Consider the following 24871-nt stretch of genomic DNA (forward strand, 5'->3'; position numbering starts at 1 on the left):
AACGTCTTTTTTGATACTGACCTCACAGCTTAGAAGAACATGGTCAATTTAAAGAGTTTTATTCCAGGCTAGAGCCTCTGCCAGGGGGTTGCAGGAAGAAAATCTCCTTTGAGCCGGCCCGGTCAGATTGAGGGGGTGGCTGAGGACGCACGCTTCTGCTCGACATTGTGGCCGAGCCGAGGCCCTGGGCCTGAGGGATCACATGTGGGGCACTGGCCGTCTCACTGCTGGGCCTGCATGCCTGTGACCTGCCCAGCCCTGCCCGACGTCTCCTGGGGGCTGTCCCCCCGCGGGGAGCCGCCTCATTTGGCCTCCACCACCTCCTACGTCCTCTGCAGGTCTGCCGAAGGCCTGAGAGTGTGCAGGCAGGACAGGGCCAAGCGTGGACAGTTAGGGTGGCTCCCCTGGGTGCGAGGCGGTACCTGCGGGTGGTGCTGTGCCTTGAAACAAAGCGAAGGTCAAGACTGCACACATGGAGCTTCCAGCTGCCAGTGGGTGGAGGGAGCGCCACCTCTGTCTGCCATGCCCGGGCGTCCTGGTGGGCTGCGTGCAGTGTTGGCACTCCCTGGCTGGGGTTCTCTGTGGAGCCTGCCCTCTACCCTCTCCGTCTGCAGTGTGTGACTCTGGGATCCCGGAGGCCGCGGGGCTAGAGCGTGGCACCAGCTGTGCTCCTGAGTGGGGCGTAGTTTGGGACGCCTGGAGCTTAGGCCAGGCTCCGCAGGCTCTGGGGGTGTCCAATGTTCTTGGGCTCCCGTGTTGGCCTCAAACAGAAGTTTGATTTTCTCATTGTTACACGGTAGGCCTCTATGAGAGATTTTTGTCCAAAGAGAGTAAGTAGTCTGTGGCTCAGAAAGATGTTCAAAGGACCACTGATTTCAGCCTTGGACTCTTGCCACATCCTTTGCTGGGCACCGGGAGCGCAGAGGTTTGCCCTCGGGCCCCACAGGCTGACGCTGTGGATGCCAGGAGGGAAGCGCCTGATCTGTGCCTGGCTGGGCCTGAGGAGCCCGTCCACTGTGTCTGAGCATGAGCTGTTGTGGGCACCATGGTGGCGCCTGGTCTTGAGGATTAATTTTCCTGTTTTCCCAGTCCCTTGGCCTCTGTCCTGCCGGGTGCATTGGCATTTGGGGTTTTGTTCTTGAATTCACCAGCGTTTTGTGGTTGGTGTACACTGAACCAGCATCCCTGTTTGGACCTCTTACTCCTGGCCCGCTGCCCCCTCCCTGGCTGTTGGTCCGGATCAATGCGTCTGTCCCCCAGGAGACGCACTGCTGATGGTTGGGGTATCAGCAAGGTAATTAAAGTTCTTTGGAAACTTTGTAGTGTGCACAGCTCAGAAGTTAATCTTAAGTCCTTCCTTTCAAACAGATGGAACTAAATCAAATCCAGGAGAGAAAGTTGATTAAAGTGAACTGTACTCACATTCCAAATGGCCTTGAGACCTTGCGAGTGACTTCAGTGTTGTGCCGTGCGAACCCGTTTCTGGTCCCTGTGACTAAGATGCAGATGCACAGCCCACCTGGCACCTCAGCAAGTTCCAGGCCGGCGCGGGGGGCACCCGATCCTTTATCCTTTTCCTCCCCATGGCTTATCACACAAAAAAAGGTAGAGAATAAAGGTCATTTCTGGTGTCAGGGCTTCCATGTGTTTATTGAAACTGTTGCCCCAGTTACTTCAGAAAAGGCACTCACTCATTGTTGACGTCTTCCTCCTCCTGAAGCTGGTGGAGCCCCAGCCCTCAGCCCTCCTGGCCGTGCTGGGCAGGGAGCGGGAGCCGGCAATCCACCCCAGATGTTCTGGAGCAGCAGGTCCCGGAGCAGCAGGTCCCACTGCTGAGGACATGGGCTTCGTGCTGTCCTTTCCTGCCTGCTAAGTAGATACAAAAAACTTACTTTATCAGTTACCTTTTCACATGCCAAGTCAAAACACAAAATAATTTCATTGTCTTAAAACTGAGCTTTTTCTAGGCAACTTTTGTCAGGCCTTTTTATATTTAAATCTGCTGTGTAACACACCTTTTCTACCAAGAATCTGTCATCACTTATCTTAGAGCTGAGAAAAGTTTATTCTAAAATATTTCATCACCTCAAAAAGAAACCCCCAGTGGCTCGTGCCTATAGTCCCAGCACCTTGGGAGGCTGAGGCAGGAGGATTGCTGGAGCCCAGGAGTTCAAGACCAAAAATAAAAAAATACTAAAAATAAAAAAATTAGCCTGGCATGTTGGCGTGCCCATATAGTTCCAGCTACTCAGAGGCTGAGGTGGGAGGACCACTGGAGCCCAGAAGGTTGAAGCTGTAGCAAGCTGACATCGCACCACTGCACTCCAGGCTGCATGACAGCAAAACGTTGTCTCAAAAGATAATCAATGAAAATTAAGGAAGAAAACAAGAAACTCCCCATTCTCCCTTCTCCCCCATGCCTGGTGATGTGCCGTCTGCTTGCCGTACCTGTGGGCGTCCTACGTACATAGACTCAGCGTGTGCCCTCGGTGTCCGCGGCTTTCACTTTGTGTGTTTCCCAGGTTGGCGCACGTTGTAGCATGTGTCAATACTTGCTTGGTATGTGTTTTCTGCATATCTTATGCCCTTTTTGTTCTGTATTCCTCCATTACTGCCTTTTTTCACTTTAATTTCCTTGATGTTTCCTTTACCATACGGTGGTCGCCCCTTACCCACAGGGGATGCATTCCAAGACCCCCAGTGGGTGCCTGAAATCGTGAATGGTTCTGAACCCCTTATATGCTGTTTTTGTCTATACATACCTGTCATCAACTTTTACCTTAAAGGAATCACCCTGTGGTGTCTCTGGCATATCTGAATTGCTCCGTCATCAACTTTTAACTGAAAGGCATCACTCTATGGTGTCTCTGGCACGTCTGAATTGCAGCATTGCAATTGAACGGCCTCTCTTGCGCTTTGGGGCCGTTATTAAATGAAGTAAAGGTGACTTGAACACAGGCACTGTGATGCTGTGACAGTTGGTCTGATCACCGAGATGCCTGCGTGTGGGCAGGTAGTGCTTGCCACGTGGATAACGCCGGACAGAAGGATGACCCCCGGCCTGGCCTGCGAGATTTCCTCACACCGTTCAGCTTGGGGGCAGGCAGTTTAACACTCATAAGAGTTGTTTACTTCTGGAATTTTTCATACGATATTTTCAAAATGACGTTGAACACAAGTAACTGAAACCGCAGACAAAGGGGACTGATATATATTGAGTTATTTTCTTAGCGCTTGCCCTGAGCGTTACAGCAAGCACCTTCTAACAATCTGGTTTGGATTAATACCAACTTAATTTTAAAAGTTTACAAAACCATTTGCTAATGTAGCATCATTCCCTCGTCTGCCCTTTGTGCTCATATTGTCGTACCAACCACATCTTTCTATCTTTTTGTGCTCGTTACTTTATGCACGTGTCTTTTAAACCAGGAGGAAGAAGAATTGTAAACAAAAGCCATGTTGTTTTGTCTCCTGTTTTCTCTGTGTCGTTACCTGCACTACTGCTGCTCGTTTCTTCCTGGAAATTCAGGTCTGGTGCCTTATGTTTCAGCCCGAAGGACTTCCTCTGGGATTTCTTGAAGGACAGGTCTGCTAGTGATGAATCCTCTTAGCTTTTGTTTTTGTGGGAATGTCTTAATTTCTCCTTCATCCTTGAGAGATCATTTCCTGGATGTGGACTTCAAGATCCAGGCTTTTCCTTCAGTGCTGCGTGGGCTCTCCGCTGCCTCCCCTGTCATCCGGGGCTGCGTGTCGTGAGCTGCGCCCGTCTTCCTGGGCTGCGTGTCGTGAGCCGCGCCCGTCTTCCCGGGCCGCGTGTCGTGAGCCGCACCCATCTTCCTGGGGCTACGTGTCTTGAGCGGCACCCATATACCTGCTGTGCACTGGCTGGCCTCAAGCTTTGTCCTGAACCCTGCTGAGGTTTGGCTGTGATGGGTGAAGTGTGGGTCTCTGTCAGTTTGTCCTACTTGGAGTTCATTGAGCTTGTATGTGGGGATTATTATTTTTATTATTATTGTTATTTTCATCAAATTTGGGAGGTTTTTGGCCGTCGTGTCTTCAAGGGTTCCTCTGCCCTTTTCTCTCCCTCTGTCTGGCTTGAGGGTGCCCCACAGGCCTTGGAGACTGCTGAGTTTTCTTCATGTTTCTTTCTGTTCCCTGACTGGATCGTCTTAATTGACCTATCTTCCAGCGTGTGAATTCTGTCTTCTGCCTGCTCGAGTCTGCTGCCGAACCCCTCTCTAGTGAATTTTTTTTTCTGTGATTGTATTTTTCAGCTCCAGATGTCAAGGGAGCTCTATTTCAGTCTTTCTCTCTGCTGAGGGCCCTGCGTGCATTGTGCCCTCAGGGCTCTGGCGGGCGGTGGACAGCCTGGCCCTGGCCTTCACCCCTGCTGTGCCAAGCCACATGGTCACTGCAGCCGGCCCAGGACCTCTTGGGCCTTTCCAGCGTGGGCACAGCCCTGCACGTGTTCACACCTTGTAGAGTCCCAGAAGATGTCAGAGCTTTCCAGAGGCCCCTGTGGACATCGCATTCTCAAGTGTTTTCTTTTGTTTTTCTGGCAGTCCCTTATTAGTCCCAACTGGTTTCTCTACTGTGGGCAGTGCGGCTATTAAACACTTGACACTGACTGTTTCCAACCGGTGCCCTGGGGTAGATTTTTTTTTTTTTTTTTTTTTTTTTTTTTTTTTTTTTTGAGACAGAGTCTCTGTCGCCCAGGCTAGAGTGCAGTGGCGCAATCTAGGCTCACTGCAAGCTCTGCCTCCCAGGTTCACACCATTCTCCTGCCTCAGACTCCCGAGTAGGTGGGACTACAGGTGCCCACCACCACACCCAGCTAATTTTTGTATTTTTAGTAGAGATGGGGTTTCACCATGTTAGCCAGGATGGTCTCGATCTCCTGACCTTGTGATCTGCCCGCCTTGACTTCCCAAAGTGCTGGGATTACAGGCGTGAGCCACCGCGCCCGGCCAACCCTGGGTAGAATTTTTGACACCGAGAGCTCTGACCCAGTCACGGCAGCAAGGTGCCCGGCAGGTGGGCTCGGGCAGTTGTGCATGGAAATTTTGGGGTGCTCCAAATCCATTCTGTCCCCCACCCCACCCCAGCAGCTACTGGTTTTCAGGGCTGTTAGATTGGAGAGGAGATATGGAGTCAGGGCAAAGTTAAGCACCTGAAGTTTGTTCTTATGGACACTCAGCCTGTGTTTTCCATAAACACTCTTCGGATGATTGCAAACCTGACCAGATTTCCACAGCTCTGAAAACACTGGTTTTGATGGTTTTTACCACTTTTTCTTTTATAGAGGAACAGATTTTGGAGGTCCTTACTTTGCCATTCTAGAAGTGCTACCTCTGGAAGTTTAAAAAAATAAGCTTATTTCATTAATTTAATTGGCCGGGTGCAGTGGCTCACACCTGTAATCCCAGCACTTTTGGAGGCCAGTGTGGGTGGATCACTTGAGGTCAGGAGTTTCAGACTAGCCTGGCCAACAGGTTTTGGTAGAAACCCTATCTCTACTAAAAGAAAAATTACAAAAATTAGTTGAGTGTGGTGGCAGGCGCCTATAATCCCAGCTACTCGGGAGACTGAGGCAAGAGAATCCCGTGAACCTGGGAGACAGAGGTTGTAGTGAGCTGAGATCACACCACTGCATTCCAGCCTGGGTGACAGAGAAGAGTCCTTCCAAAAAAAAAAAAAAAAAATCTCTGTGTGTGTGTGTGTGTGTGTGTGTGTGTGTGTGTGTGTGTGTGTGTGTATAGAATTCATCTATTGAACCTTATTTAAAAGGTTTTGTTATTTAGAAAGAAGGTTTAATCTTTTAAAAGGGAAGGAACCTAGGTTTCCAAATATCTTGGGTTTTCATGGCTGTAATTCCTTGATGGTGAACTTCTTAGTGTGACTCTTAAAGATGTTACAGGAGCCATTTGGGAATGGTAGTGAGCAGTTGCTTATGACACGCAGCTGTCACCAGTGCGAACTTGTGTCTCCTTAAGTGTTTTATCCCCGAAACCAGGACTTTGTGTTCCCAGTGAAGTCCTTGAACCCATGTTTTCTTTGATGGGGGCTGTGGTCTGGCTCATCCCGGCTCTTGGTGCAGAGTGGGGGCTCCATGCATATCTGCTGAATGTGCTGAATTCCGGCTAACAGCAAAGAAAGTATTTTTCTAGCTTACTGGTATTTTTTATTGTTATTGATGTGTACAGGGTGAATTTGGAAGTGAAAAGAAAACTGCTTTGCATGAAAAAGAGGAGACACTTCGGCTTCAGAGTGCACAGGCACAGCCTTTTCACCAAGAGGAGAAAGAGTCTTTGTCTCTGCAGCTTCAAAAGAAGAATCACCAAGTCCAGCAGGTGTGTGGAATACGCTGTTCCCTTGTGATAAGACGTGTATAGCATAAAAATCATTTTCACTTTATTTCAGTGCACAGTTCAGTGGCAGGAGTGCACTCATGGTGTTGTGCATTTATAGTGTTGTACATTCAGTGGCGGAAGCGCATTCACAGTGTTGTAGATTCAGTGGCGGAAGCGCATTCACGGTGTTGTGCATTCAATGGCGGAAGCGCATTCACCATGTTGTATATTCAGTGGCGGAAGCGCATTCATAGTGTTCTGCATTCAGTGGCAGAAGCACATTCACGGTGTTGTGCATTCAGTGGCGGAAGCGCATTCATAGTGTAGATTCAGTGGCGGAAGCGCATTCATAGTGTAGATTCAGTGGCGGAAGCGCATTCATAGTGTTCTGCATTCAGTGGCGGAAGCCCATTCACGGTGTTGTGCATTCAGTGGTGGAAGCGCATTCATGGTGTTGTGCATTCAGTGGTGGAAGCGCATTCACAGTGTTGTATATTCAGTGGCGGAAGCGCAATCACAGTGTTGTATATTCAGTGACGGAAGCGCATTCACAGTGCTGTGCATTCAGCAGCAGAAGCGCATTCACGGTGTTGTATATTCAGTGGCGGAAGCGCATTCACCATGTTGTATATTCAGTGACGGAAGCGCATTCACGGTGTTGTGCATTCAGTGGCAGAAGCTCATTCACAGTGTTGTGCATAGTTCAGTGGCGGAAGCACATTCACGGTGTTGTATATTCAGTGGCGGAAGCGCATTCACGGTGTTGTGCATTCAGTGGCGGAAGCGCATTCACGGTGTTGTGCGTTCAGTGGCGGAAGCGCATTCACGGTGTGCGTTCAGTGGCGGAAGCGCATTCACAGTGTTGTATATTCAGTGGCGGAAGCGCATTCACAGTGCTGTGCATTCAGTGGCGGAAGCGCATTCACCGTGTTGTATATTCAGTGACAGAAGCGCATTCACGGTGTGCATTCAGTGGCGGAAGCGCATTCACGGTGTTGTGCGTTCAGTGGCGGAAGCCCATTCATGGTGTTGTGCATTCAGTGGCGGAAGCGCATTCACGGTGTTGTGCATTCAGTGGCGGAAGTGCATTCACAGTGTTGTATATTCAGTGACGGAAGCGCATTCACAGTGCTGTGCATTCAGTGGCGGAAGCCCATTCACGGTGTTGTGCATTCAGTGGCGGAAGCCCATTCACAGTGCTGCGCATTCAGCAGCGGAAGCGCATTCACAGTGTTGTATATTCAGTGGCGGAAGCGCATTCACAGTGCTGTGCATTCAGTGGTGGAAGCCCATTCACGGTGTTGTGCATTCAGTGGCGGAAGCGCATTCACAGTGTTGTATATTCAGTGGCGGAAGCACATTCACCATGTTGTATATTCAGTGGCGGAAGCGCATTCACAGTGTTGTATATTCAGTGATGGAAGCGCATTCACAGTGCTGTGCATTCAGCAGCGGAAGCGCATTCACGGTGTTGTGCGTTCAGTGGCAGAAGCACATTCACGGTGTGCATTCAGTGGCGGAAGCGCATTCACCATGTTGTATATTCAGTGACGGAAGCGCATTCACGGTGTTGTGCATTCAGTGGCAGAAGCGCATTCACGGTGTTGTGCGTTCAGTGGCAGAAGCGCATTCACAGTGTTGTATATTCAGTGGCGGAAGCGCATTCACCATGTTGTATATTCAGTGGCGGAAGCGCATTCACAGTGTTGTATATTCAGTGATGGAAGTGCATTCACAGTGCTGTGCATTCAGCAGCGGAAGCGCATTCATGGTGTGCGTTCAGTGGCAGAAGCGCATTCACGGTGTTGTGCATTCAGTGGCGGAAGCGCATTCACAGTGTTGTGTATTCAGTGGCGGAAGCGCATTCACAGTGTTGTATATTCAGTGATGGAAGCGCATTCACAGTGCTGTGCATTCAGCAGCGGAAGCGCATTCACGGTGTTGTGCGTTCAGTGGCAGAAGCGCATTCACGGTGTTGTGCGTTCAGTGGCGGAAGCGCATTCACCATGTTGTATATTCAGTGACGGAAGCGCATTCACGGTGTTGTGCATTCAGTGGCAGAAGCGCATTCACAGTGTTGTGCGTTCAGTGGCAGAAGCGCATTCACAGTGTTGTATATTCAGTGGCGGAAGCGCATTCACCATGTTGTATATTCAGTGGCGGAAGCGCATTCACAGTGTTGTATATTCAGTGATGGAAGCACATTCACAGTGCTGTGCATTCAGCAGCGGAAGCGCATTCACAGTGTTGTATATTCAGTGGCGGAAGCGCATTCACAGTGTTGTATATTCAGTGATGGAAGCACATTCACAGTGCTGTGCATTCAGCAGCGGAAGCGCATTCACGGTGTTGTGCGTTCAGTGGCAGAAGCGCATTCACGGTGTTGTGCGTTCAGTGGCGGAAGCGCATTCACAGTGTTGTATATTCAGTGGCGGAAGCGCATTCACAGTGCTGTGCATTCAGTGGCGGAAGCCCATTCACGGTGTTGTGCATTCAGTGGCGGAAGCGCATTCACAGTGTTGTATATTCAGTGACGGAAGCGCATTCACGGTGTTGTGCATTCAGCAGCGGAAGCGCATTCACCATGTTGTATATTCAGTGATGGAAGCGCATTCACGGTGTTGTGCATTCAGTGGCAGAAGCGCATTCACGGTGTTGTACATTCAGTGACGGAAGAGCATTCACGGTGTTGTGCGTTCAGTGGCGGAAGCCCATTCACGGTGTTGTGCATTCAGTGGTGGAAGCCCATTCACAGTGCTGTACATTCAGTGGCAGAAGTGCATTCGTGGTGTGCATTCAGGGGCGGAAGTGCATTCACGGTATTGTGCATAGTTCAGTGGCAGAAGCGCATTCACGGTGTTGTGCGTTGAGCGGCGGAAACACATTCATGGTGTTGTGCGTTGAGCGGCGGAAGCGCATTCACGGTGTTGTGCGTAGTTCAGTGGCGGAAGTGCATTCATGGTGTTGTGCGTTGAGCGGCGGAAGCGCATTCACGGTGTTGTGCGTTCAGTGGCAGAAGTGCATTCACAGTGTTGTGCATAGTTCAGTGGTGCAAGTGCATTCATGGTGTTGTGCGTAGTTCAGTGGTGCAGGCACATTCACGGTGTTGTACATTCGGTGATGGAATCACATTCACAGTATTGTGCAGCCATCACCACCATCCATCTCCAGAAGTCTTCATCTTGCAAAACTGAACTCTGTCCCCATTAGACTCTCACTCCCCATTTGCCCTCCCCTGGCACCATGGCTCACACCTTTAATCCCAGCACTTCGGGAGGCTGAGGCAGGAGGACCACTCCAGCCCAGGAATTCGATACCAGCCTGGGCAACATAGGGAGACCCTGTCTCTATAAAAAATTAAAAAAATTAGCCGTGTGTGGTGGCACGCACCTGTAGTCCCAGCTTCTCAGAAAGCTGAGGTGGGAGGATTGTTTGTGCCCTGGAGTTTGAGGCTACAGTGAGCTGTGATTGTGCCACTGCACTCCAGCCTGGGCAACAGAGTGAGACCCTGTCTCAGAAAGAAAGATCTTTGCCTGCCTGGCAACTGACTTTTGTGAATGACCAGATACAGTGACTTATTTCGAATTGCTGTTTGAGTGGTGGATCTCTGATGAACTGGCCCCTTCCCTCCCCTAGCCTCAGGTTCCACCTGGGGATGTTTGTGTATTCTTTTGTAAATGATGAATAATGGAGGAAAAACCGTATCAATAATTTTCACCTTTAATCAGCACCTCGTTCACCTTTGCCGTATTTTTATTAAATGTGCAGGTGCTCCTTGGCCTTTGCTGAGGTCACGCCTTTGACCACTGTCAGTGGAAGGCGTTGTGAGTCGAGGAACGTGCCGAAGTGCCTGCTCCTTTTGCCCCATCACCAAGCTGAAAAGTCCTAAGTCAGAGACTCTCAAATACTGAAATTGTGTTGAAAGTCCCTTACAGCCATTTGCTTTTAACCAAATTGTTTTAACGAAAGCTTTAACCATTTTTCTCGATAGCTGAAAGACCAGGTTTTATCCTTAAGTCACGAGATAGAAGAGTGCCGCTCCGAGTTGGAGGTGCTGCAGCAGAGGCGGGAGCGGGAGAACCGGGAAGGCGCAAACCTCCTCTCCATGCTCAAGGCCGACGTCAACCTGTCCCACAGCGAAAGGTCAGTGTGTCCTCGGCACCGAGGCTGCCTTGTGGCCGCCAGCACCCGCTGGGTCATGCAGATGCCATTGGTCCCCACGGCTCCTGGCCCCGTGGCTGCTGCCACCATGCACGCTGGCTCCTGGTGGACGGGGACCCGGCTTCCTTCTTCTCTCAGTTAGAAAGATTGTAAGCACCGGGAAGAAATCGCCTGCTGTGTCTCATCTCCCAGCCCCCGTGCCCTCCTCCCACCCTGCCTGCTGTGTCTCATTTCCCCATCTGGCCAGATTAAAACCAGCCGTTATCTCCCACACAGAGCCCGACCCCTCCCCTTTAGTGTCTGCGTCCCCGCAGCGTGTCCTCGTCCCCGGCACGGGGTGCAGGCCCACATGTCTCGTGGTTCCTGTGCTTTGGACTGTGTGCAAGTGTCGTGCCTCATGCATCTCTCTCTGTGACGTGTGTTTCTGAGACCGGCCCAAGCAGGGGCCGTAGCCCTGTCCGTTCCTTTCTCCATTGGGAGCCTGTGCCTGGGTAGCTGCAGGCACTGGGCTGAGCGCCCAGCCCCGAGGGCTCTCCCAGGGCGGGGTGTGGGTCTGCTTACCACGGGCCGTGGGGCCGCCTTCCCTGAACGCATGGGTCCAGGCCACATCCTGCCTTGGTGCCTCCTCACCTGCAGTGATGCTGTCCAGCAGGCTTGTCTGCCCTTTTGTCGCGTGTGGGGTCTTGAGAAACTTTTTGCTCCTCTGACACCATGGAGGTTTTTCCCAGGTCACCTCACAGGGTTTTAAGTTTTGCTTTTGTGTGACTCTGGGGTGAGCCTGCAGAGTTGTTCTTGCTTGCACCTGTCTGGGCAGTGGACTCGGCACTGTGTTGCCAAACGCAGCCTCCCCTTGGTGCGCGTCCTCCCCGTCCCCTTGTGTGGGTCTTTGGCTGCTCCCATTGGCGTGTCCCCGCCCGAGGCCTCTGTGTCCTGCTGCTGCTCCCATCTGTGTGTCCCCGCTGAGGCTTCTGGGTCCAGCCACTGCTCCCGTCTGTCTGTCCCCGCCCCAGGCCTCTGAGTCCTGCTGCTGCTCCCGTCTTTGTGTCCCCACTCGAGGCCTCTGGGTTGTGCTGCTGTGTCCTGAAGCTCTGAACTGGTTTGGCTCTGCTCTGGAGACCACCCAGGGTCCGGAGACCAGGTCGGGCTTATGGGACCCTCTGAGCTCACAGCTGTTTCTGGAGCATTGGTGTCTGTCATGCTGAGGGTCCATCCGTGTGTGGGGGGTGTCTGTGCAGGTCTCTCTTTGTTCTTTTCATCAAGTTTTGTGATTTTTCTGTGAGGACCTTGCCTTCTGTAGCACTTGGCTGTGGGTGTCTCGTAGCTTGGTGCTGACTCTCTCCAGTCACCCAGGTCAGTGGGCGAGCGAGAGCTCTAAACCGAGGGGCACAGCGGCCAGTGGGGCGGTCTGTGCTCTTAACTCGAGGGGTGCAGAGGTGGGTGGTGGGCGGGGTAGTCCCAGGCTCTAAACACAAGGGGTGCAGAGGTGAGCCCACGGTCCCTGGACACTGGAGAGGCTGCCTGTCTTGAGGTGGGGTGGCTGCAGACGCCCTGATGCCTGCAGGAGTTGGGCATTTTGGGGGGTGGAAGTGTGCTGGGGAGCAGGTGGCATTCTCTCCGTCAAGCCCCTCCTCAGGACTCCCCCTCCCTGTTATTTGCCCAGAATCTTCGGTTTCGCGGGGCCTGCACGACACTGCCTCCCGTTGTCACCTCACGGTCCCCACGAATGAGTCCTCATCGTCTGCTCCTCAGGGTTGGGCTCTCTGGGGACAGAGCTGTGAGCAGAGTAGAGGGAGGGCTGGCTGTGTAGTCACTGGGTCAACGTGCCTGTCCTCAGCGGCGTCACAGCTCCTAAATCATAGTGCAGGGAGCGAGATGTGGAGGGGCCTGTGGCCTCGGGAGCCCCTGTGTGTAAAAACAGAAGCATCCCAGCCGGGCGCAGTGGCTCACGCTTGTAATCCCAGCACTTTGGGAGGCTGAGGCGGGTGGATCATGAGGTCAGGAGATCGAGACCATCCTGGCTAACATGGTGAAACCCCATCTCTACTAAAAATACAAAAAATTAGCCGGGCGTGGTGACAGACGCCTGTAGTCCCAGCTACTCGGGAGGCTGAGGCAGGAGAAAGGCGTGAACCCGGGAGGTGGAGCTTGCAGTGAGCCAAGATCGTGCCACTGCACTCCAGCCTGGGCGACAGAGCGAGACTCCATCTCAAAAAAAAAAAAAGACAGAAGCATCCCAGACCGCACGTCCACGAGGCCTAGCGAGAGGCTGGGAGACACCATCCTCTTCCTGCCACACAACTCCTGTGAATGTGTGGCTGAGGCGTGACTTGGTGTTGGACAGACATCTTGTGAAATGGCTGGCTGGTGCACCCTGTGCTCCAGGGGAGGGGCGGAGCCTGTGTGCTGCTCCCGGGTGATTGACGCTGTGCGGCCACATCGCACACCTGCGGGACGGGTTTGCCGTGTTCCTAATGTGATGCCTTTTACACATCAGAAATGGCATCAGGAAGACCTCACCTAGGAAAGCCCGTGTCCCTGAGTGGGCTCCACGTGGTTGTCTTGTCTGTGGCCTCAGCTTCCTGTGCTCACATGGGCATGAGGATCATGTCTTCCGGCCCCGTGGGGACAGGCAGCCGTGGGCCGAGGTGTGCAAACTGGTGGGCGGCCCCTCAGCAGCATCCAGGGTGGGGGTTCTTATGCCGTGACCAGCTTGCCTGATGATGGGTGTCTCCTGTCTCAGAGGGGCCCTCCAGGACGCCCTGCGCAGGCTGCTGGGTTTGTTTGGAGAGACGCTGAGGGCAGCCGTCACCCTGAGGAGCCGGATCGGGGAGCGCGTGGGGCTCTGCCTGGATGACGCGGGCGCAGGCCTGGCCCTGTCGACAGGTGAGTGTGCCGGGACCAGCTGCCCAGCCCTGTGCTTGCAGCCCCTCTGTGGTCCTGGAGCTCTCTGAGAGGAGCCTCCGTATTGGGCGATGCCCTTGGGAGCACTGCCGTCCTGGTTTCCTGCTAGTTTCCGCACTTACAGAAGGCCGAGACCGGGGTTTGGGCTAAATTTGTCAGCTCCCGTGGACGTGGCGCTGACTCATCTCGGCTGGGGCGACGTTCTGAGTTCTGTGGCTTCCTTGTCGTCTTGGCTGCCATGGCCGCGGCCGGCTTGCTCACTGAGCCGCGTGTGCCGGCATCTGCTCATCTTGTAGCTCCGGCGCTGGAGGAGACATGGTCTGATGTGGCCCTCCCGGAGTTGGACAGAACTTTGTCTGAATGTGCAGAGATGTCTTCCGTGGCTGAAATTAGCAGCCACATGCGTGAAAGCTTTCTCATGAGCCCAGAAAGTGTGCGGGAGTGTGAGCAGCCCATCCGGAGGGTCTTCCAGAGCCTCAGCCTGGCCGTGGACGGCCTCATGGAGATGGCCCTGGACTCCAGCAGGCAGGTGAGGCCCAGGCTCCCGGGGTCCTGTGGAGATGTGAACAACTGAGTAGCTGATGATGCCACACGAGCCTGGTGGATGCCGGTGCCAACGACGCTCGCACGGGTTTCTCCCCAAGGAGGAGGCTTTTCTGAACCAGATCTTTGAGGAAGTGGGCTTGCTACGAATGAGAGAATCTGTTTGTTTAATTTGGATAATAAACAGGCCCATTTTCTTTACTTCATGCACTGTTGCAATTCCATGTGGAGTGTTTTCATATTTAGAGATTATCACTAAGAAAGGAAATTTTTTGTAACCGTTTTAGAACATTTTAGACAATTAAAAAAGACATTAAGTAGGAATACACGGAAAGCAATCAAAGATCTTTTTTTCAGCCAGGCACAGCGGCTCACTCCTGCAGTCCCAGCACTTTGGGAGGCTAAGGTAGGAGGTTCACTTCAGCCTACTTCAGCCCACGAGCTCATCTTGTAGCTCTGGCGCTGGAGGAGATGTGGTCTGATGTGGCCCTCCCGGAGTTGGACAGAACTTTGTCTGAATGTGCAGAGATGTCTTCCGTGGCTGAAATTAGCAGCCACATGTGTGAAAGCTTTCTCATGAGCCCAGAAAGTGTACGGGAGTGTGAGCAACCCATCCGGAGGGTCTTCCAGAGCCTCAGCCTGGCCGTGGACGGCCTCATGGAGATGGCCCTGGACTCCAGCAGCCAGCCTGGGCAACATAGCGAGACCTCATTTTAAGTTAGCCAGGCGTGGTGGCATGCGTCTGCGGTCCCAGCTCCTCAGGAGGCTGAGGCAGGAGGATTGCTTGATCCTGGGAGGCTGAGGCTGCCGTGAGTTGTGGTTGCACCACTGCACTCCAGCCTGGGTGCAGAGCAAGACCCTATCTCAAAAATGAAAATAAAAATTCTTTTTTGCTAAGTTTTGAGTTCAGAGGTAACTCTGGGTCTCAGCCTGTAGATGGCCTGGGAGCCCCAGACTGGACACAGTTGCCAGGGGAGTGTCTGGAGGAAGGGAGAGGGGCCCAGGGCTGAACTGGGAGGCTGAGGAGGGGTCCTCATTGGAGACTGTGGCCACAGTGTCTCGGAGGGTGGCTGAGATGTGCTCAGGTCCCGTCACCCTGGCCTGGCCCTGCCTGGGTGGTGACGGCCTGAAGGGTCTGGGGGTAGAAGTGGCGTTCTCTTGGTCTTAATGTAGGCTTCAGTTATTTTTGATCTGGAGTTTTGATTTGCAAATGTGTTTTAACAGCTGGAAGAAGCACGCCAAATTCATTCTCGTTTTGAAAAAGAATTTAGTTTTAAGAATGAGGAGACAGCACAGGTTGTCAGGAAGCACCAGGAGCTGCTGGAGTGTTTGAAGGAGGAGAGCGCAGCAAAGGCAGAGCTGGCGCTGGAGCTGCACAAGACTCAGGGTGAGCAGCATGAGGCCTCGGGGCACCTGGAGCACAGGCACGGGGAGCAGGCCTGGCCTCACTGAGGGAAGGAAGCCTTCAGAATAGGGTTTTTAAAGTGAAATGTAAAAACAAAGCCAACATGGGAGGCACCCATGGTTTGGGAGGAATGGGGTGGTCGGGAGCTGCTGCGGCCAGCAGGGCTGTTGGAGGCCTACACCTGGGTCCTGGAAGCTGCTGGCTCTTAGCTCTGCTGCTCTCAGGGGCAGTGGCCCCGTCCCTTCCTCCAAGCAGGCTCTCCTCAGTTACACCCAGGACTGGCTTTGTCAGAGCATCTGTGTCTCCCACAAAGGTACCCTTGAGGGATTCAAGGTGGAGACAGCAGATCTGAAGGAGGTGCTGGCCGGGAAGGAGGATTCCGAGCACCGTCTGGTGCTGGAGCTGGAGAGCCTGAGACGGCAGCTGCAGCAGGCGGCCCAGGAGCAGGCGGCGCTGAGGGAGGAGTGCACCCGTCTGTGGAGTCGGGGGGAGGCCACAGCCACGGACGCCGAGGCCAGAGAAGCTGGTAAGGAGCGCGGGCTGTGGAGGGTGGTGCGAGCTGTGGGGCGCGGATACAGCTGCCACGGTTTCCCCAGCTCCCAAGGACACTCAGTGTCTCTAGAGGGTCAAGTGTAAACCAGCACGCAGCTTCTCCTGGAACACTGGGCATGGGAAGCTTGTGCGGATCAGGTGAGGCATCCACTGGCTTTGCTGCCCTTTCAGAGAAGGCGGGTTGTCTGTCGGTCCTGCTGGTTGGAGGGTCCCCACCTCTGTGAGGTGGAAATAAGAGGGGCTCTGAGTCCAACAGCAGCAGCTGGAGGCAGAGCCGAGTGCGGCAAACAAGAGCTACTTTAAAATTTCATTTAAAATAACCAAGTGCCTGATATTAACCCTCATTAGGAAAACATAGTGTTAACAATATTAGTTTGTATCTTTTCAGATTTTTAGATATTTTAGTCTCAAAGGTATTTAAAATGAAAACTGTCAAAACATAAGTTTAAAATGTCGAGCCTGCAGGGAGCTGCGTCCTCAGTAGCTGGTTCAGCTCGAGCAAAGGCTTTTCACATTGCATTCGTGCATCTCAGGCACGTGGGAGGCAGAGGGGCCTGCGCTTCTCTAAAAGTTCCTTCCAGGATGGCCGTGGCCTCGGGGTCATCCCTTCAGAACACAGATTGGAGTTAGAAGCTTGGGCATCGCAGGCACCACCTCAGCCAATTCAGAAGTCTCATTTATTATTATTATTATTTTTTTACATTTTTCTCTTTAGAAAACAACCAGCTTTTGATTTTTGTGGCCATTCTCATTTGCTGTCTTCTGTCTTGCTGATTTTTGCCCTTGTTCGTGTGATTCCTTGTTCCTATGGTTTTGTTTTTGTTTTTGTTTTTTTTGAGATGGAGTCTCGCTGTGTCCCCAGGCTGGAGTGTAGTGGCGTGATCTCAGTTCACTGCAACCTCCGCCTCCTGGGTTCAAGTGATTCTCCTGCCTCAGCCTCCCAAGTAGCTGGGATTACAGGTGAGCACCACCACACCTGGCTAATTTTTTATGTTTTTGGTAGAGATGGGGTTTCACCATGTTAGCCAGCCTGGTCTCGAACTCCTGACCTCAAGTGATCTGCCTGCCTCGGCCTCCCATAGTGCTGGGATCGCAGGCGTGAGCCACCATGCCCGGCCAGCTCCTATGGTTTCTCACTGCCTTCGTTGGGTTGGACGCTTTTGGACATGTTTGCTGCCTTTCACAGGATGTGGGGTTCAGGTCGTGCCTCCTCGTGGTGCCCCAGCCTTTCCACCTGTGGTGCTCGTGTTGACATCTGGGTCCCACAAGCTTATAATTCTTTGGCCCAGGGGGCGTTTTCCAGGGTGGAAGACATTGGTCCCACGGGATGTTTTAAACTCTGCCTATGACTGTGCCCACACTTTGTCCTCTCCTTTTCTTGGTTCATTTCTGTCATTCTCGTTTATCCCGTTCTATTTTTTATATAAATTTCTGATGCTGAAGGATTAGCCTGGTGTTTTTCCCCTCGTGTATCTTTTCTTGTCCTTTTATTTTAAGTCTTTTTTAATACTCTGTTTTAGTTGTGCCTTGTATGGATACCATATTCATGACTGTTTTTTAAAAGCCTGTCTGTGAGTATCTTCTTTTAGTCATTTAGCCAAGTTTTATTTGCCGCACCTCCTGGCGTTGGGCCCTTGCTCGGGGGTGGATTTTCCTTGGCCAGCTGTGAAGTCCTCACTGCGGTGTTGCCTGCTGCCGGGCTCAGGGCGGCGTCATCTCCCCACGGGCCTCTAAGCCCTGTTGCCCCCGCACTCTGTGTGTCCACAGGGGGAGTGCGGGGGAACCTCCAGGGCCAGGAGGGCCTGGAGTCTCTTCAGGTCCCTTCCTCCACCAGTGAAGTGGTGCTGGAGACATGACTCGAGATCCTGTTTCTTTTCCTTTGACGCCCTCGTTTTCCTGCATCTCCTCAGGATTTTTCAGGGTGTTTTCAGGAACGTCTCTGACGTCCTGCATCGCTCTCAGCATCTTTGCCCTGGCGGTGCTGTTGCATCTGGGCGTCCGTTGTCGCTGTTTCTCCGATGCTTTCTCTGCTTGTCCTCTGCTGTCCGGGGGCAGCCTCATGGTCGGGCCCCTCCCTGTAGACTCTGCTGCCCCATTTCCAGTGTCTTCGCGCCCAGCCAGCCGGCGCTGGGCCACACCCCGCCGGGGGAGACCACCTGGTGTTTCATCACCTCGAGCCCTTGGACTTCAGCCAGTCACTTCGTTTGTCAGGCCTCCGGGCAGATAAAGGGGTGTGTGGCCTGCATTCTGTTGAACGGCCCGGTGAGGCCGGGGCCCTGTGGCTAGCGCCCCCGTGTCAGGTGCCTGTGTCGTGCCCTGGGCCTGAGCACGTGGGTCTGAGCACTGCAGGGCTTCTTCCCAAGGCTGTGGTGGCCCGTCTGCTGCCTTGCCTCTGGTTCATCTCCTGCCACAAAGCCTGGCCCACCAGGGAGTGTCGTGACAGGTGGATGTGGGCCCTGGGTGTCCATAGCCTGGCTGGGCTCCCTGCAGGCCCCAGGATTGAAGCTGAGGCTTACCATGGGCCTTGCAGTGGCAGGCGCCTGGCATGCCGGGAGTGGATCTCATGGAGCCCTTTCGCAGGCTCGGGCCAACTTTGTCACTGGGAAATTCTCGTTGTTTCTCTGGGGTCCTCTTTGTTTGCTTTCCTTTCGACATGGTTAACCCTGCCCTAGTTTCTCACTCTGGTTTGTTTTCTTTCCTTTCACCCTGGCTCTGCGGTTGTGTGACTCTGCGCCAGCTACCGGCCCTGACCACTCTCCCGGCAGGGCCTAGGCTCTGACGGTGGCGTGAACCCGGCCCTGGTGTGCAGCGGCCCTGCCTCGCCGTGTTGCGTGACGCCCCCTTCGCTGTGTGGTGTTTTGTGGCTCTCTTCAGGTGTTGCCATCTGTCCCTTTTGTTCTCTTTGTCTCCTTGAAAAGTTGATGGGCCTGCAGCCGCACAGGCAGTTGTGGGCATGGTGGGCGCTGAGTCTGGAGGTTGTTCAAGGCCAGCAGCGTTGCCCAGAGCCCTGCTGCTGACGCTGCCGTCACTGGTTCTAGCTCTCACATTCTCAGCTGCACGTTTCTGTTTCCACCTCAGTAAACGCAAACTCTTGTTCATAGGCACAGCTGTCACTGCAGCACACAAGGACTCAGGTTTGTAAAGACAAACGATTGATTTGTGTGTGACGTGCTGTTTGTTTGCACTGGATTTTGCAAATTATTTACTAAAGAAAAGTACTTCAGACCTTTTGTGGCAAACAATAAATACAGCGATACTCTAATCTTCAGTATTCATAAAAATGGGTGGAGTTGTCCCATTTTAACGCCCCAGCAAAACAGGAGCATTTCTCTAACGGTCTTTACTACAGTGCCTAAGCTACAGTTTGTGCTGCTTTTCAGAAACTGATGTCTTGTGATAGTTACAGCTGTTCTTGGGCTGGGTCCCAGCTCTGGTCTCCAGGGAGGGCCTGGGCCCCCTGGATCCCCTGTGCCTGTTCAGCGTGGGTGTCACCTGCTTCGCCAGCTGGGATTGCGATCCTCGTGTGCCTCCCTGAGTCTGCGTGCATGTCAGCAGGCACCCTGCCCCAGTGCCCCTGGCCCTGAAGATGGTGATGTTCTGGGCCAAGCACAGCCCAGGTCGTGTCCAGGCCCAGGGAGTGCAGTCAGGGGAGCAGCTGCCCTCAGGCCTCGCCGCACGTCTCAGGTTGTGAATGTTACCGCAGCAGCATGTTTACAGCGGACTCGCCGTTAACTGCTGACAGTGGCATCAACATTTATTGAGAATGTTACTTGCATTGGTCATGATAGTTTGTGATAAAAGACTTAACACTTTTACAAATCAAAATGATTTTTTGGAAGCTGGTGAAATGTCAGTTAACATGTATGAATTTAATATTTTAGTTTTTGGGTGGCTTAAAGACTTCAGGATTCAGGCCGGGAGTGGTAGCTCACAGCTGTAATCCCAGAACCAGACTCCATCTCAGAAATAATTATAATAAAATAGAGACTTCGGGACTCAGCAGCAGAGACTCCATCTCAGAAATAATAGTAATAAAATAGAGACTTCAGGACTCAGCAGCAGAGACTCCATCTCAGAAATAATAGTAATAAAATAGAGACTTCAGGACTCAGCAGCAGAGACTCCATCTCAGAAATAATAGTAATAAAATAGAGACTTCAGGACTCAGCAGCAGAGACTCCATCTCAGAAATAATAATAAAATAGAGACTTCAGGACTCAGCAACAGAGACTCCATCTCAGAAATAATAGTAATAAAATAGAGACTTCAGGATTCAGCAGCAGACACTCCATCTCAGAAATAATAGTAATAAAATAGAGACTTCAGGATTCGGCAGCAGACACTCCATCTCAGAAATAATAGTAATAAAATAGAGACTTCAGGATTCGGCAGCAGAGACTCCATCTCAGAAATAATAGTAATAAAATGGAGACTTCAGGACTCGGCAGCAGAGACTCCATCTCAGAAATAATAATAATAAAATGGAGACTTCAGGACTCGGCAGCAGAGACTCCATCTCAGAAATAATAGTAATAAAATAGAGACTTCAGGACTCAGCAGCAGGCACTCCATCTCAGAAATAATAGTAATAAAATAGAGACTTCAGGATTCAGCAGCAGAGACTCCATCTCGGAAATAATAGTAATAAAATAGAGACTTCAGGATTCAGCAGCAGAGACTCCATCTCAGAAATAATAATAATAAAATGGAGGCTTCAGGACTTAGCAGCAGAGAGCCCCTTTTTCCAAGACGCTTTTTCATCTGCAGTTTCCACTTGGGCCGGGGCTTCGCCACCCCAGGTCTCAGGCTGGTTTTGCTGCTGGAAGAGAATTTTTGAGGCTAGGCGATTTATCACAGACACACGTTTGTGACTTACAGTTCTGGAGGCTAGAAAGCCTAAGGTCAGGGTGCCAGCAGGTTTGGTGTCTGGTGAGGTACCCATCTCTGCTTCTAAGGCAGAGCCTTGCACACTGTATCCTCCGGAGTGGAGGGCTGGATCATCCTGGGGCAGAGGCAGAAGGGCCGAGTGGGAGGACCACTCCCAAAGCCGCTTATTGAGGCATTAAAACTGCTGTGAGGGTGGAGCCCTTGCGGCCTCGTCACCTTTTCAAGGCCCTTCCAATACCATCACTCTGGCAGTTAAATTTCAACATGAGTTTTGGAGGGGACAGAAATTTAAACTGTGGTACCCAGTTAATTTTATTTATTTATTTATTTATTTGAAGGAGTCTCACTTTGTCACCCAGGCTGGAGTGCAGCAATGCAATCTGGGCTCACTGCAACCTCCATCTCCCGGATTCAAGTGATTCTCCTGCCTCAGCCTCCCGAGTAGCTGGGATTACAGGCACACGCCACCATGTCCAGCTAATTTTGTATTTTTAGTAGAGACAGGGTTTTACCATGATGGCCAGGCTGGTCTCAAACTCCTGACGTCGAGTGATCCACCCGCCTCGGCCTCCCAAAGTGCTGGGATTACAGGTGTGAACCACCCCACCCGACCTAGATTCGCTTTTGATTTACCGATGGGGCGTTTGCCTTTCCCCTAGACACGTCACAACCCCAGGCTCTCAGCACCGTCCGTCGTCTGCTGGGACTGGGCTTAGTCGTGTGTTTCTGTCTGGGAGACTGTACTGAAGGCAGAATTCCTAGAGAATCACCCACATGTCACTCAGAAGTATTCTTCTCAGGCTTCAGAAATTTGCTTTAGCCAATGTTGTTTTAAAAGATGGGCGTTTTACCCCGAATTGAAGTGACTTCATTTTCGGTGGGTTTTGACTGAATCACCATCAGGAGATGCACGTGTCATGCACCAGCCTCTGAGGTGCGGGGGTGTCCCCGTGTCTGTCCTGTTTGCATCCTTAGCTCTCCGGAAGGAAGTGGAGGATCTGACCAAAGAACAGTCGGAGACCAGGAAGCAGGCTGAGAAGGACCGCTCAGCCCTGCTCTCCCAGATGAAGATTTTGGAGTCTGAGTTAGAAGAACAGCTGTCTCAGCATCGCGGGTGTGCCAAGCAGGCGGAGGCCGTCACTGCCCTGGAACAGCAGGTGGCATCTCTGGACAAGCATTTGCGCAACCAGCGGCAATTCATGGATGTAAGAATTCTGAATAATACATTTTTTTGCATCACTAAAAGTTGCCGTTACAGCATGAACTTCTTTCCAGATCGTTACGTAAGCTTCTGCAGTAGGATGTTGAAGAGGGCGCCCCACACCTGCTGCACAGGTGCACCCAGGTCGCTGACTCTTGGTGGGTGTCTTCTTGCCCACATGTTGTGGCGCAGCCCTCTGAGGGCCACCTCCCATGGTCTTGCCATGCTCCTTCTCACAGTCACGGAGGCGTCACTTGGGGCCCGGGCTGGGCCTGTGCTGCAGCTCTCACTGGTTCTTGTCCTCCCACCCACCAGTCTCAGACGTTCCTCTGTGTTCCATGCAGAGAGCTGTTTTTCTTTACTTAACTCCATTTTACAAAGTGACTGTGATGAGGGGGGTATTTGGAGTCTGAGCTGCTGGGCAGTTGCACTTGTACGTGCAGTGGAAGCCTGGGTGGACCTTCGCTGCAAGGGGCACGCCAGCCCCGTTGGGGTGGTCCCAACACGCTGCCTCTCCTCCCAGGAGCAGGCAGCCGAGCGGGAGCACGAGCGCGAGGAGTTCCAGCAGGAGATTCAGAGGCTGGAGGGGCAGCTCCGCCAGGCGGCCAAGCCGCAGCCCTGGGGCCCTCGCGACAGCCAGGTGAGTCAGTGCAGCGTGCAGTGCTGCTGGTTGCTGTCTTTCACTGTGTTTTTAAGCTTTAACTTTCTTTAAATTTTTGCCTTCCATGTACATGAAATCGGCAGCAGGCGCCGCTGGATGGAGAGGTGAGGAGGCGTCAACGAGATGGGCACTCCCTGCGCTGGCGCCCAGGCTCCCCTGCGCTCGCTGGGACTGTCCTGCCACCCACTCGCTTTTCTTGCTCTTGTTTGGGCTGCAGCCATCTGCTTTCTCTTGTCTGAGGAAGCTGTAGTAGGTTCGTTTATTTTTTTAAAAAATTAATGGTGGATTCACACACAGTTGTAAGAGGTAAGACTCGGATCCCTCGTGCCTGGCACGTGGTTCCCCAGAGGTCTCATCCACAGAGCCGGAATGCAGTGTCACAGCCAGTATGGGCAGGGATCTGGTGACGCTGCAGTGCCTTCTGCCCCCCACGGACCCTCGTGTACTGGGTCACGGCCATGCCGCCGTCCTTTCTCGGGCAACCACTCATCTGTCGTCTATTTCTAAAACTTTACCATCTTCCTGATGGGTGAAGCGTGCCTGTCATCTTGGGGGATTGACACCATTCACCGAGCCTGACTCTCTGGAGATTGATCCAGGTTACTGAGTGTAGCCATAGTTTGTTCTTTATGTTGCTGAGAAGTATTCCATTCTTTTTTTTTCTTTTTCTTTTTTTTTTTTTTTTTGAGTTGGAGTCTCATGCAGTTGCCCAGGCTGGAGTGCAGTGGCGCGATCTCAGCTCACTGCAAGCTCCACCTCCCGGGTTCACGCCATTCTCCTGCCTCAGCCTCCCGAGTAGCTGGGACTACAGGTGCCCGCCACCACACCCCGCTAATTTTTTGTATTTTTAGTAGAGACAGGGTTTCACTGTGTTAGCCAGGATGGTCTCCATCTCCTGACCTCGTGATCTGCCTGCCTCAGCCTCCCAGAGTGCTGGGATTACAGGCGTGAGCCACCGCGCCGGCTGTAGTATTCCATTCTTTTCTATCAGAATAGATTTCATTTTCCTAACAAATTCTGTATTATAGAGAATGCCTTTCTTAACACAACATCACCCTATACTTCCTTTAGATCTCTGTTCAGCCTCTGGGTCTAGGTCTCCCTGTGCAGCCTGTGGGTCTGGGTCTCTGTTCAGCCTGTGAGTCTGGGTCTCTTTTCAGCCTGTGGGTCTAGGTCTCCCTGTGCAGCCTGTGGGTCTAGGTCTCTGTTCAGCCTGTGGGTCTGGGTCTCTCTGTGCAGCCTGTGGGTCTAGGTCTCCCTGTGCAGTCTTTGCGTCTGGGTCTCCCTGTGCAGCCTGTGAGTCTAGGTCTCCCTTTGGGTCTAGGGGAGGGCATAGGGCATCTATTTTGTCTCTGTTGTTTTGGGTACTTTTTTGTTTGGAAAATGGGTTTTTATAAAACATTCTATTGTATTCCTCAAGCATTTTTTGTTGTTTTAGGTTGAGTTGTTACAACAAAAGTTGAGAGAAAAGTTGGATGAATTTAATGAATTGGCTATACAGAAAGAGTCGGCAGATAGACAAGTGTTAATGCAGGAAGAAGAAATTAAACGTCTGGAGGAGATGAACATCAACATCAGGAAAAAAGTGGCCCAGCTCCAGGAAGAAGTGGAAAAACAGAAAAACATCGTGAAAGGGCTGGAACAGGTAAAGCGTCTCCATGTTGTGGTTGGGCACGTGGTGAGGTGTCCCGCAGGCATGGCTTCATCGCTGAGCTGGCAGGGAGTGGGCAGGGCGTCCTTCTTCACTGGCAGCCACCACGTCTGCACCAGAAACACTGGCGTCAGGGAGAAACAGAAGTCATTGGTGACGGGTAGCAAGAGTACTTTGACCTTTCTGGAGATTGTTGATTTTATTTACTGTAGTAGGATTTATACAATTTCTTTATGTCTCAAGAACTCTGAATTTATCCTTAATATTTCATAAAGTAAACATTTAAGATTTTAGGTTTAAAAAAATCTTAGCTTATTAAATACTTTGATGAGAGCCCCTTGTAATTGTTTCAATCTTTGAGCTCAGGAACTCATGTCAGCTCCCAGTGAAGAGATCTCCAGTGATGGTTTTGCATTGCTGGTGTTTGCCGTGTTGTGTGTGTTCGTTTGTGTCTGAGAGTTTAAAGAGGGGCTGGAGCACTGAGCCAGGTGGGCCATCTCATGGCTGGAGGGGGCAGGGCTGCCTGTCTGCATTTCTGGGTAGCGGCTGTGCCCTCCAT

The 24871-nt window shown here is 52.1% G+C and overlaps 1 protein-coding gene across 2 annotated transcripts in view, besides 2 other annotated features; it reads left to right on the forward strand.

Moving 5' to 3' along the window:
- Positions 1 to 24871, forward strand: part of PCNT (pericentrin) — a 121614-nt gene that overhangs the window by 51335 nt on the left and 45408 nt on the right. For both annotated transcript variants that reach the window (NM_006031.6, NM_001315529.2), the window contains exons 16-25: positions 6204 to 6350; positions 10342 to 10493; positions 13252 to 13394; positions 13709 to 13941; positions 15180 to 15342; positions 15674 to 15886; positions 21775 to 22004; positions 22524 to 22640; positions 22745 to 22765; positions 24100 to 24306. In NM_006031.6, the coding sequence (NP_006022.3) occupies positions 6204 to 6350; positions 10342 to 10493; positions 13252 to 13394; positions 13709 to 13941; positions 15180 to 15342; positions 15674 to 15886; positions 21775 to 22004; positions 22524 to 22640; positions 22745 to 22765; positions 24100 to 24306 (1626 nt within the window). The remainder of the gene's footprint in view (positions 1 to 6203; positions 6351 to 10341; positions 10494 to 13251; positions 13395 to 13708; positions 13942 to 15179; positions 15343 to 15673; positions 15887 to 21774; positions 22005 to 22523; positions 22641 to 22744; positions 22766 to 24099; positions 24307 to 24871) is intronic.
- Positions 3288 to 4068: an enhancer, noted in NCBI's record as "H3K27ac-H3K4me1 hESC enhancer chr21:47798693-47799473 (GRCh37/hg19 assembly coordinates)". NCBI's record gives its function as "activates a minimal SCP1, AML or CMV promoter by ChIP-STARR-seq in naive H9 embryonic stem cells {active_cell/tissue: H9 hESC(naive)}" and the evidence as "EXISTENCE:reporter gene assay evidence [ECO:0000049][PMID:30033119]".
- Positions 10504 to 11004: an enhancer, noted in NCBI's record as "H3K4me1 hESC enhancer chr21:47805909-47806409 (GRCh37/hg19 assembly coordinates)". NCBI's record gives its function as "activates a minimal SCP1, AML or CMV promoter by ChIP-STARR-seq in naive H9 embryonic stem cells {active_cell/tissue: H9 hESC(naive)}" and the evidence as "EXISTENCE:reporter gene assay evidence [ECO:0000049][PMID:30033119]".

This window comes from Homo sapiens, chromosome 21 (genome assembly GCF_000001405.40).
Source record: "Homo sapiens chromosome 21, GRCh38.p14 Primary Assembly".
Classification (NCBI taxonomy): Eukaryota; Metazoa; Chordata; class Mammalia; order Primates; family Hominidae; genus Homo; species Homo sapiens.